Source organism: Homo sapiens, chromosome 6, assembly GCF_000001405.40.
Source record: "Homo sapiens chromosome 6, GRCh38.p14 Primary Assembly".
In the NCBI taxonomy this organism is placed as follows: domain Eukaryota; kingdom Metazoa; phylum Chordata; class Mammalia; order Primates; family Hominidae; genus Homo; species Homo sapiens.
Window position 1 is genome coordinate 146271732 of NC_000006.12, and position 13237 is coordinate 146284968.

A 13237-nucleotide genomic window follows, 5' to 3' on the forward strand; every position below is an offset into this window, starting at 1 on the left:
CTAATTTTCTCTGTGAGGACAGTCCACTAAATGGCCATGTTCAAAGGAATCTCACAATTCACAGCTATTGCTGCATAATGATTTATGAGCCAAATCACTCACCCATTAGAAGAATGAGTCTTCAATGGTCAGATCAAACATAATTTATTATCTCTAACGTCTGGTAGTCTTATGTTTTTCTAACACTTTGCAGCTTTTATCAGGGTATGTATTCCTGCCTGTGGCCACAGCACTGAAGAAAATGGCAGTTCCTTTTCAGTTTTGTCCAATAATCCTCCACGTTCCTGCATTTCATCAGTGTTTTCAGTGTTCCAAGACTGTGTCCAGATACACAGTAGAGTTAGCTTTGCCTTCCCTTATGGATACACATAAATACCTCCCTTATGGATATAGATACATAAAGTAAGCATTTGGCTATTTTCTGTAATTAGAAAAGATTTAAGAAAGCCCATTTTGCCAAAAATATATCATGCAAGGGTGCTTGGGGATTCTTTTGAGCTCATCATTTAAAGAAATACAAATTATGCTTAATGAATGAACATAATAATCTCCTAATACTTTAGCTGAGATTTATTTTATCATATAGGTTTCAAATCAGCAAACATTATCGGTTGCATTTTATATTTGAGATACAAAGTTATTTATGTTGTGGGACCTGAAACTAAGTAAACAGTTATCCTTGAAACTGGGGACCTTTTAGACTACGAGAATGAGTTTCTCAAAGTCTGTCTTTTATAGTGCCTAGAATAGTAGAACTGATAAATAGTGTTTACTGAATAAATACACTACTAAATTATTCCAGTGGATTTCCCATGCACACAAATATCTATGATCAATACAGTACATTAGGAACACCATGAGAATACTACAAATATTTTGGCAATGAGGAGAGACAAAGAGGATTTGTAAAGGCTTCATAAAGGATGTTTCATTTAGCTTGATTGTTGGATAGAATTGAGGAGGCTTGTGTGAAAAGGTTGTGGGAATTTCTACTGGGGTCAAGAGTACCAAAAAAGAATAGATAATTTTTTTAAGGGTAATCCTGTTTGGGAAATCAGCTAGTGCCTGTAGTAAAGCAGGACAGGGAGTGAAAAACAAGGATTGCAACCATGAATGGAATCCTGGGAGTGCCTTGTAAAGGAACATAGACATTATTCCTAAAATAAGCAATCAGGAGCTCCTGAAGGCTTTTCAGCAAGAGTATGACTATCACAGTAACCAAATGAGATCATTGGGTACCAGAGAAGAAAACACAAAATGATTTGGGGGCAAAAGACAGGTCTTTCTTCCAGCATGGTGGACAAAATTGGCCTAGAGCTCTGTGAATCCAAGAAGAATGTTGTGTGACTTGTTCTTTGAATACTAAGTGTCTACATAAGAAGATATTCTTGTGCCAAATATACTTTTTCACCAAAATATAATGCCCTCTCCTTTTTGGTCCTCTGGTATTTGAATTAACTAATACCTTTGGTAAATGTGTTCTGATATATAGTATCCTGGTGAATAGTATGGGGCTTCCTTGGTGTAGGGGCTTCCTTGGTTTAAGGTGAACACCCTTCAGCTGATGGTTTGAAGGAATGTGGAAGATGTGAGGCCTGCTCTGGGAAAGACATGCCCCAGCGGAGAAGGAGAAAAAACCCACAGCTTTTATTATGTGAGAAAAGAAGTCAGTCAAAGGAGGTATTCTTCAAACACAAAGCCAAAGCACTGCAAAAGAATCTATGATTATTTCTTAAATAACTTTTTGTTAATGCTACTCCCTAGGTGTCCTAAAATCTCAGCTAAATGTTTTGAAATCTGGCCATGTTTTCAAAGAGCAGAAACACCCACAGAGTTGATTCTCACTCTTACAAGTTCTAAGTGATGCCTAGGGCTTAAGATGCACCATTCTTACAGAGTTACAATAGTAGTCACATGATCTCTCTTAATTTCCCATGATGAAGACTTAGAAAGTGTTTCTTTTATAAACCAGAGGGTAAATACAAAATGTCCCCTTTAAAGGAGGCTGCTAAGAGGTACAAATGATTGGACTCAGTGTTTTGGAACTTGCTCTATTTTTTTCCAGATGGATAATTGTTAAAGGGTTATTACAAGTAGTTACATGAAAAGGCAATTATGAGGAGGCTATGAACAAATCTGCCTTCATTTTGATTTGAATATTGGAGCAGTCGTAGTATTTGTTGTGTGTTCCTGGTAATGGAATTCAACCTTTTATCTTTTGTTAAAATGTTCTGCAATAATATGTGATTATGCAGATGCATAGGAATAAAACATGTATTACAGAGTCCATCACTCTGCAATCGTTTTTGTATTATAGCAAATTTCAAGTCTTTCTTACTTTATGTAGCTACAATAAGAATGTATCTTTGGATTTGCATAAGATATGTATATGAGTGCTTTTTATTTATTAAAGCCATTCAAAGAGGAACCAAACACAGGAATATCAAGATTTCTTTTGAATAAGTAAAAACTTGGGGAAAAATGGCAAATAATCTGGCACTTTTTTATATTCTACATAATTTTATCTAAATGTTGTCAATTCAATTAACATAATTTTTAAAAACTTGCATAATTGCAATACATATTTTCCAGATTTGTGAACTATTTTCAATAAAATCAATTTATATAGGCTACTTTCTAAGAATACTGCAAAGAATATCACCTCCATACCGTGAAGAAATCAGTAAAATAATTTGTGGAAGTGATGCTTAATTTCATTGTATACATAACATCTAATTTAGTTCCAAAATATTCTCTGAGTAGGACAAACTCTTGTCAATTTTGTTAATTATTTTTGTTCTCACAGTATTTAAAATATGCTTTAAAATTTTTGCAAAAGAGAGATGTTTTCAACTATTTTAAGATTAAATGCAGAAAGCAGAGATTGCAATTATGAAGCTTATTTGCATGCTTCAGAATGTTGAATATATATTAGTTATTAATATTTATCTCATTTCAATGATATAGGCTTGAAATAGTAAAAGAATGCCTGCTTTATGAATGAAGAAAACAGAGGATAACTTAGCTTAGCTCCTGATAAGACCCTTTGCTTTAATAGTCACATGACACAAAAATGCATCAGGACCAAGATGTCAATGTCTATGCTAAGAAGTTAATGTCCAGACAGAAGACACTTAGCTAACTAAAAATTAGCCGGGCTTGATGGTGGGCACCTATAATCCCAGCCACTCAGGAGGCTGAGGCACAAGAATGGTTTGAATCCAGGAGGTGGAGTTTGCAGGGAGCCAAGATCGTGCCACTGCACTCCAGCCTGGGTGACAGAGTGAGACTCTGTATCCAAAAAAAGAAAAAAGAAAAAAATTAAAAAGAAAAAGATGGCACTTGGCCAAAAAATGTCTGTTGAAGGACTGCAGTGAGCATTGTGGAACTGCAATGAGCTAAACTAAGTGGATGCTTATTTCAAAAAGCGAAACTGACAGAGAGAGAAAAACAAAACAAAACAAAACAAAACATGTAAATACCACAGAGCTTCAGAGGTGGGAGATGTCACCACAAATTGCAGTAGGCAGGGCACAATTAAGCTAGACCTTTTAAGGTGGGTGAAATTTGGATTACAGGAGGAAAGAGGTAAGGGCATCTAAGTGAGTGAATGATAGCTGGGGGTTGCTAGGCGTGTACATGGGACAGTTTGTACATGCAGGAACTCCAGAAGAGGGGGAGAGCTGGGTGAGAAGGCGTGGGAATCAAGTTCATTTCATGGACTCCTCAATCTCTTTTGCTCTAGTTTCCCCCCACCCGGTGCCCCTGTTGTTTATTTCTCTCTCTCGCTCTCTGTCTCTCTCTCCCCCTATCTCTTTCTCTCTTCCCTTCCTCTCTCCTTTTTCCTATCTCTATCCCTATCCATAAGTTTATCTTTAGCTCTAGCTCTTACTTAGAATCCAATCAGCCTCCAAAGCCAAGACAATTCCTTTGTTTAAAGTTTCACTCTTTCATAAACAAAATTCATTTTTTCTGCTCTAAACATTTTTTCTCATTATTTTCTCTTCTAGCACACTGTTCTCGCCATCTAATATTGTCAGTGTTTTACTTTAAAGAGTCAGCACCGATGATACTGAAATTCTTACTTATTTAATTTTATCATTCCATATAATTTATTAAAAATTATTCTGCATTGTGGTTTTGCACACATTGCTGGAATTTTCTTCTGATCAACCAATGAGTCTTGGGTCTGTTGAAAATATTATTTGTACATCTTTTTATTTTCCAATAGATGAGGAAGAGAAGAAAGAGGAGGAGGAAGGCAGAGAGAGAGAGAGAGAGAGCACAAAGGGTAAAATCATTAATGTTATATCAAGCAATTTAAAAGTATTTTAGACTCTCTGCCAGAAGATTGTGAAAACATAGTGCAAGGTTTATTATTATTATTTAAGTAACACAGTCATGTTATTGGCCTAGAGCTATCTTAAAATTTATTTTAAGCCCATTATTTGTGGTTATTACCGGGTACCACCAGTACAGTGAAAAGAATATTAGAATAGGCATAAAAATGGATTCTAATTCTTCATTCATCACTATGTGATTTTAGTAATATAAATTTATCTCTCAGAGTCTTGAGTAATACCATCATTAAAAGAGAAAAGAAATTATGGCATTCTTACATTAGATAATCTAAAAATTTCATTCCAGCCTCCAAATTATGTAACAGAATTTTTGTTCCCCTTCCTCTAAAGCAAATGCAATTTGCAAATAATTTATATTAGGAATTCTATCCTTCCAGTTGTTATTATAGAACATAATTATTCCTCATACATTTTATGTTAATGATTTTAGTGCATGAATGGTTTTATTCAAGACTCATTATGCCAATAATTTTAAATTATAATATGTAGAGACAAAGAAAAAAAATTAACAGGCAAAAGATGAAAGCTATCAGTCTGTCAAGTCTAGACACCAGAACAATTGTAAACACTTTGATTTTTTTTTCTTCCAGAGAAAATGAATTGTTAGTTAAAAATCTTGACTAAAGAATAAAATAGTCTAATAATTACTTACTAATTACTTACTTACTTACTAATAATTGATTTGTACATTTTATCTTAATGTTCTTGAGTGTAAAGTTCTCCAGAGGCAGGGCACGGTGGTTTACGTATGTAATCCCAGCACTTTGGGAAGCTGAAGTGAAAGGGTTCCTTGAGCCCATGAGCTCGAGACCAGCCTGGTCAATATAGTGATACCCCCATCTCTACAAATAATAAATTAATAAAAATTAGTTGGGCATGTTGGGGCAAACCTGTAGTCCCAGCTACTCAGGAGGCTGAGGTGGGAGAACAGCCAAGGAGATTGAGGCTGCAGTTAGCCATGATTGCACCCCTGCACTCCAGCCTAGGCAACAGAGTGAGACTCTTGTCTTCAAAAAGATAAATACAATACAATACAATACAATAAAATACAATAAAGTTTCCCAGCAAGTTTGGTGTGTGATTGTTTGCATAGTGAATTCTGTAATATGAGTGTGTGCTCAGGAAAGGGTTAATTTGTTCATCTTGGGTTAACTCTGGGTTGCTCAAACCCTGCAGACTCCTAAGAAAGGCCTGTCTGCCTTTGGAATGCCCCTTGGTAGCTCCTGGGAGATGAGCTAAACCCTTGGAATATTCTGCCTGACAAGAGTGTTTCTATTGGCCTAAGGCCTTGGGCCACCCAGCACCGGTTAGATCAAATAGTTTAGGCTAACAGTATGATCTATGGTGAAAACTGATTTTGCTTTTGAGGGGTTAGAGACTGAGTAGCTGAGGTCACCTGACTGACTCCCAATTAAAAACCCTGGACATCAAGATTTGAGCGAGTTCCCCTGGCTTACAGACTTTGGCAAATGTTTTTACACATTTCAAGAATTAAGACTATCCATGCAACTGCCTTGGGGGAAGACACCTGGAACCTTGCTCCTGGTTTCCCCTGGACTTGACTTCTTACACTTTTTCCCTTTGATGTTTTAATCTGTATCCATTTGTTACAATATATTGTAACTGTGAATGTTAACAGTTGTTCAAGTCTCATGAGTGATTCTAGTGAATAGTTGAGACTGAGGGTGAATTGTGCCTGCCTCACCCCAAAGTATGGTTCAAGACAGTCTTTTAATTAATAATATCACTTAAGAAAGCTTTCCTAAATAATTAAATTAATAATATCACTTCAGAAAGCTTTCCTAAAATGCTTCTAAAGTCAAGCAAGATTTTTTAATTAAAAGCTTAATAGTTAACTTTAAATTACATTAAGAGAAAAAAATTTACTGAAAACATACTATCTTTAGGCTATCTGAGATTTTTAAGTATCTATTACCAAGTTTTCAACTTTCAGTGATTCCAGATCATTTGGATTCAAGATTAAAGTGATTATATTTTTTCTCTTTGATTCATTATTATAATATCCATTTGATAAAGAACCCCAAAAGAAATATCATTATGTACCTTCAAATCATATTTATTTGGAAGACTCATTAAAAACCAGAAGCTATGTTGTACTTTAAATATATTATCTTTAGTTTTTAATTTTCAGCATAATCAGGTGATATAATATTAATGTTGCTTTATATGTGAGAAAAATTGGGCTTAGAAAGTTAAAGAGATTACTCCAGGCATACTACTGGATGTGGCATAGAGAGTATTTGGATTAGGGTCTATTAGGAATTAAGTTCATGCTTGTTCTATTGTGTTACTCCATATATTCACCCTTAATGACATGTTACTTATTCTGCCTCTGGTAGTAGAGAGAGTAAGCTGCTTGTACATCAATTTTGCTTCTTCCAGCTGGGCGTGATAGCTCACTCCTGTAAACCCAGCATTTTGGGAAGCCAAGGCGGGCGGATCACCTGAGGTCAGGATTTCAAGGCCAGCCTGGCCAACATGGTGAAACCCTGTCTCTACTAAAAATACAAAAATACAAAAATTAGCCGGGTGTGGTGGTTGATGCCTGTAGTCCCAGCTACTTGTGAAGCTGAGGCAGGAGAATCACTTGAACCTGGGAGGCTGAGGTTGCAGTAAGCCGAGATCACGCTACTGCACTCCAGCCTGGGTGACAGAGTGAGACTCTGTCTCAAAACAAAACAAAAACTTTGCTTCTTCCTTAAATATTTAATGGAAATCAACAGAGAAGTTATATAGAGCTAGAGGTTACGCCCGGCTAATTTTTTGTATTTTTAGTAGAGTCGGGGTTTCACCGTGTTAGTCAGGATGGTCTCAATCTCTTGACCTCCTAATCCGCCCGCCTCGGCCTCCTAAAGTGTTGGAATTACAGGCGTGAGCGACCGCGTCCAGCTGAGAATGTTTTTTATTGCAAATTCATTTTTATTAACAGATATTGTAATTGTAACCATTAAATTCTTCCTGAGTCCATTTTTCTATTGTGTCTACCAAGGAATTTTAAAATTTCTTTTAAACTGTCAACATTATTGGCATAACATTTTTATAATAATTTCTGTTCCTTTTAATGTGTATGGAATCAATAGTGATTTTTAATTCATTGCTATTATTGATCATTTATATCTGCTCTCTGTCTCTCTCTTTCAGTATATCTAGAGGTTTATAAATGCTGCTAATAATTTCAAATAATGACTTTTGGTTTCTTTGATTTGCTTTAACTTCTATTACATACTCTCTTTTTTTACATACTTTTGATTTAGTTTGATATTAATTTGCTAGGTTACTAAAGTTGAAACACATTAATTTTAAATATTTTTATTTATCTTTCATATGCATTTAGAGATATAAAAATTTTTTAACCACTGTTTTAACTGTATCCCATAAATTTGAATAGACTGTGTTTTAGTTATTATTCAGTTAAAAAATTTTCTATTTACCTTTGACATTTGTTCTCTAACTGTGAATTATTTATAAGTGTGTTGCTTAATTCAAAATATTTGGTGATTTTTCCAGATTGTGTTATTATTGATTTTTATGTTTAATTCTGTTGTGGTGAGAGAACATTATTTGTATCACTTAATCCTTTGAGTTTTAGTGAGCTTGTGGCCCAAGCTTTTACTTATATAAAAACACCATTTTTTTGCCATCATTTAAAAATAATATTATACTGACTATAGAAATGTAGGTTGATGGGTTTTATTTATTGATTTTTTTTTCATCACTTGCCTTCTTGCTTGCATCATTTTTCTATGACAAGGGCGTGATAATTCTTATTTATTATTGTTCACCAGTGTGTAATTTATCTGGCTGCCTTTGAGATTTTCTCTTTTACTTTGGTTTTCAGAAATGTGGTGGGACTAGGTGTGGTTTTCTTTGTATTTATCCTGCTAGGATTTTATTGAACTTCTTGGATGTGTGGGTTGATTTCTTTTGGTCAAAATTGACAAGTTTCATCATTATTCATTCAAATACTTTTTTCATTCTAATTGCTCTCATCTTCTTGGACTTCAATTATGTGCACATTTCTGCCACCCTGAACTATGAATTTTATTTCTTCCACCCACCAAGACCCCAGCTCTCTGGTGTGTCTAGTGCTGTGATTTGGATAATGATCCCTGGTGGAAAGCTGAGGTTAATGCAGAGATCATTTTGTGCAGCTCCCCTATCCCAGTGATCATAGCCCTGAGTTATCCATTGTTCCATCCTTGAAAATAGCTACTGTAGATATTTGTCAAGTTTTAGTGTTATTTAAGGGAGAACTTAACACATGATGACTATGATTCTTTCATAACTATTGCTCTGATTAGTATCATTCTGTTTGGAATCTCAGTGTTTCTAGTTTGCTAATATAACCTAGTTGTAAGGGGCACAACTGGATTAATAGTTGAATCCCTTAATATACACAGAACGCTATGGGCCCAGAATTGTATAATTTTTCTTACCTGAACACATGCACATTTTCTACATAATGGATTGTATCCCCTTTCTCTTATTTTTACTCATTACTTCGTTTACATTTAGTTTGTTTGAAAGCAAGTTCTCATTCTCTCACTCAGGCAGGAGTGCAGTGGCATGATCGTGGCTCACTGCAGCCTCAAACTCGTGAGCTCAAGCAATCCTCCCACCTCAGCCTCCCTAGTAGCTGGGACTAATGACACTAACACCACCTAGCCCAGGTAATTTTTTTTTCTTTCATTTTTTGTAGAGATAGGGTCGGACTATGCTGCTGAGGCGGGTCTTGAACTCCTGGCCTCAAGGGAAGTCTCCAGCCTTGGCCTCCCAGAGTGCTGGGATCATAGACATGAGCCACCACACCCAAGTAGCATTTTTTATGTCTTCATTTTTTAATACCAACCTCACCCATCCTTTCTTTTCTTGCCTTTGGAAGACAACTTTATACTAAGAAAGCTACTTTTTTGTTTATAGGTAACTTACTGTCTAGTTAAGAACTGACTCAAATTTCAAAATAATGCTCAAAAATTTAAAACATACAAGAACAAAAACATTTGGAAGAATTATTTTCTCATTAGCACTGCTTTTCTACCTTCTTCTTGATGGTAATTTGTTTTGAGCCTAACTTTTGTGATTGCTAATTTCATTATAAACCAAATTCTCCAGCTCTTTTATGACTGGTGTAACAGGAAGTAAACTAACCAGAGACTCAGGGACCAGGATTCCAACCACAGCTCTGCTCCTGACTAGTTGTAAGATTTTGGTACATTACTTAGCACATTTGATCACAGCATTCTAACCCTTAGTAAGCAAGATGCTTTCTGATGTCCTTTCAACTCTAAGTTCTATCTTTAAGGATACAATTTGAAATGTTTCTCTTTTCCCACTGAGCGAACTCAGACTCCTAAAGAAATTGTAATTAAAAATGGCCTTTTGCTATGTTTGACAAAGGACAAAATGTGATAATAAGTATTAAAGCAATTTGAAATAGTTTTAGCAATGTAATTTAGATTATAATTATCATTTCTGGAGGCTATATTCATTTTTTATGTTCCTTGTGGTACATTATATGTAATAGATATTGAATACTTTCTTAATTTTATGATTAATATACTTCTGGAAAAGGAGAATGACAGTTGAAATCACTTAATGTGATGAAATAAATATGGCTTTATTCTTTTCAAATTGTGGTGTTTTCTGTGATTCACTACTTCTTTCATCTATTAATCTGTGCTCTAAGTGGCTTGATCCCATCTTGGCACACATCACCATGGATTCTTAAACTATAAGAAGCTGCATTCATGCATGTGTACATTTGGCAACCTTGTGTTGAACAGAGCTCTGCATTTGATGCTGTGGATAAATAAACTGTTATGATACTGTATCTGCACTAAAGGAGCTCAAATTCCAGTGGAGGAGGTTGACAGGGCAGTCAATAATTCTAAATCCAGATGAGCAGTGCACAGGCTGCTTGGGAATCATAAACAAGAAATCAAATTTAGGAAATTTGAATGGGTCTTTCAAGAGTGGAGTGGATAATACTGTCAGCACTGGTGCCTTTGTGTACCTTTAACAGGCCACACTCTTTCCTGTCTGTCTTTGCACACACAGCACCTTCTGACTAGAATGTTCTTTCCCTGTATTTTCACTTCCCATTATCTAATATTTAGCTGAAATATCATTCTATTAAGGCCTTCATTGTCCACCTTCTCCACAATTGTATCACCCTTACAATTTAATTTCCCTAATATTTTACTTTGTAGCCCCACTTACTATTATCCACAACTAACTTATTTATTTGTGTCATTGTTTATTGTATGTCTGACCAGATGGTAGGAACCTGTTTGGGTCACTGCTTCATATCCGTATAATCTGGAATGCCCCTGGCTCATAGCAGCCACTCAAAAAATATTTGTTGAATGAAAGAAAAGATGAAGGAAGGAAGGCATTAGAAAATTACAGAATGAATGTCTCTCCTTCCAGCCCTCCACACCCCACCAAAAAAAAAAAGGGTGGAAAATTAGTACAAAAAATTACTCTCAATTATTAATTCAGAAAATATTTATTGAGTCAAATGCTATTCTAGGCCAGAGTGCCTGATGTGTAAAAAATAACATTCTCCCTTATTAAGAAAAATATTATTTATTTCTTTCTACAGATGGTCAGAAAACTAGAACTAGAAAAAATGTAATAAAAAAAGGATGTAAAATGTTAGGTCTCATTATGAATCATTTCAAACTTAAGTATGTGTACATATAGTAGTGACTTAGAGCATTACCAGCAGCATATTCTGTTCTAATAGACTGGATAACTGAGAAGAAATAACATTTAACACCCTCATTCCAGAAATATTGCATAATCCCTGTCTCTTGATTTGGGGCTCAGCCATATCACTTGCCAAGGCCAGTGAAATAATAGCAAACCCCCTGCAAGAAGAGAGGTACAGTATTTTGTACAGTTGGTCTTGTCTCTTGCGCTTCTGCCATCACCACAAATAGAGCTTCCCTGAAATAGATGCTGCTCTCTCAGCCCCAGGCCATGTCCACAAGGAATTTATAAGGACCAGACTTGAGCCCAATGCATAGCAAGTCCAGCTTGAAGCAGAGCATCCCAGCAGAACCCAGCCTAAATCAGCCGAACCCCTGCCATCTGCAGATGTGTGAATGAGCATAAATGATTGTAGTTTTAAACTGCCAATTTTTGTGGTGGTTTGTTATAATTAAAGAATGAAAAATCAGCCAGATACAAGCCCCCAACCCCTGTTGAAGTCCTGAGTTAAGAATGTCAAATACATATGTGCTTTGTTTTTATGCTGTTGGGTATGTGGAAGTTATTTAGGAAAACATCGGGTAGTCCTGTGAGCTAGCAAGGCACAAGAAGCAGGGTTTTATGGGCATACTTCTGCAAGAAACAAAGCAAGTTTTGCTCTCATTAGTCATATTCACCTTGCAAATTAAAACCAATGTCCCATGTTATAAAAGAACTTTGGATTGGCCTGTGGTGTTTATCTCCTGTGTTAACTCATGTATCCTTAGAAAAAGAGTGGAAGAAAATGATAATACCTCATATTTATTAAACACTTGCTACGACAGGTATAGTTCCAGGAGCTCATCATTGACGTCAGACTCTGTAAAATATGTGATAAATATATTATTCTCATTTTACAGATCAGGAAAGTAAGGAGTAGACCACTTAAGTAATTTGCCCAAGGTCACAGAACTGGACAGTGACATAGCTGAAATTTCACCTTTACAGGCTTCCAGGATCCACATGCTTCACCACAATGCAGAAGTAAAGTATCTCTGGCCTACTACTCATGTATAACTCACGTATGATAGATAATACAGAAACAGTTGGCTTCTCAATACTATTTCCTTTAAAAATTATAAGTACTTCCAAACTGATTTCAAATACTGCAGTTTTGGCAATTCATGGTTTTGTAATTGCAGATGTTCTGTGTCTGTCTATTTGCCTGAGTCTTATGGAAATGGGCTTGGGCCTCTATCTGTGGAATACAGCAGACAGCAGAACATCAAAGATCAGCACACAGGTGATGAAAACCCAGGGGTGCTGGCTCTGAAAAGCATGTGGGAAATATATGAGAAGACTCATAGTCACACATCTGATCCAGGAATGCTGGCTTAACAATGTTATTACTATTAGTAATAATATGAAGACACCAGTTTACTAACAAAGATAGGCAATGGCAACCTTGAAGTTATCTTTTAAAAAAGAAAGGAAAATATCATCCAAAGCCATTATCTTCCTTTATAGCATAGGTATGGTTGTTTTGTAATCTACATACATATATATTAAAGAGAGCAGCTGTGCATAATTGAATGTTCTTTGTGCTGGATTCTAAAATTATAATGAATGCTTCATTACATGAGTAATGCAAAAAGAGGCTTTTAAGATTCACTTCTGTGAATTTTAATCTATGTATATGATATGGCTTGGCTCTGTGTCCCCACCCAAATCTCGCCTGGTATTGTAATCCCCATGTGTTGAGGGAGGGACCTGGTGGGAGGTGATTGAATCATGGAGACGATTTCCCCCATGCTGTTCTTGTGATAGTGACAGAGTTCCCATGACATATGATGGTTTTAAAAGTGGCAGTTTCCCCCATGTGCTCTCTGTCTCTCTCTTGCTGCCATGTAAGACATGCATTGCTTCTTCTTCACCTTCCACCATGATGGTAAGTTTTCTGAGGCCTCTCCAGCCATGTGGAACTGTGAGTCAATTAAACCTCTTTTGTTTATAAATTACCCAGCCTCAGGTAGTGTCTTTATAGGAGTGTAAGAATGAACTAAAACAGAATATATTGGAAATTTTAGCTTCATCCAGTCTGCTTTTTAGCTAGTGATGGATAAGTCCTTGAAATCAAATGAAATATAAAATGCACAAATTCT

At 35.9% G+C, this 13237-nt stretch overlaps 1 protein-coding gene across 8 annotated transcripts in view; it reads left to right on the plus strand.

The window, feature by feature from the left end:
• GRM1 (glutamate metabotropic receptor 1) overlaps positions 1 to 13237 on the plus strand; it is a 409895-nt gene that overhangs the window by 244025 nt on the left and 152633 nt on the right. The window lies entirely within an intron of this gene.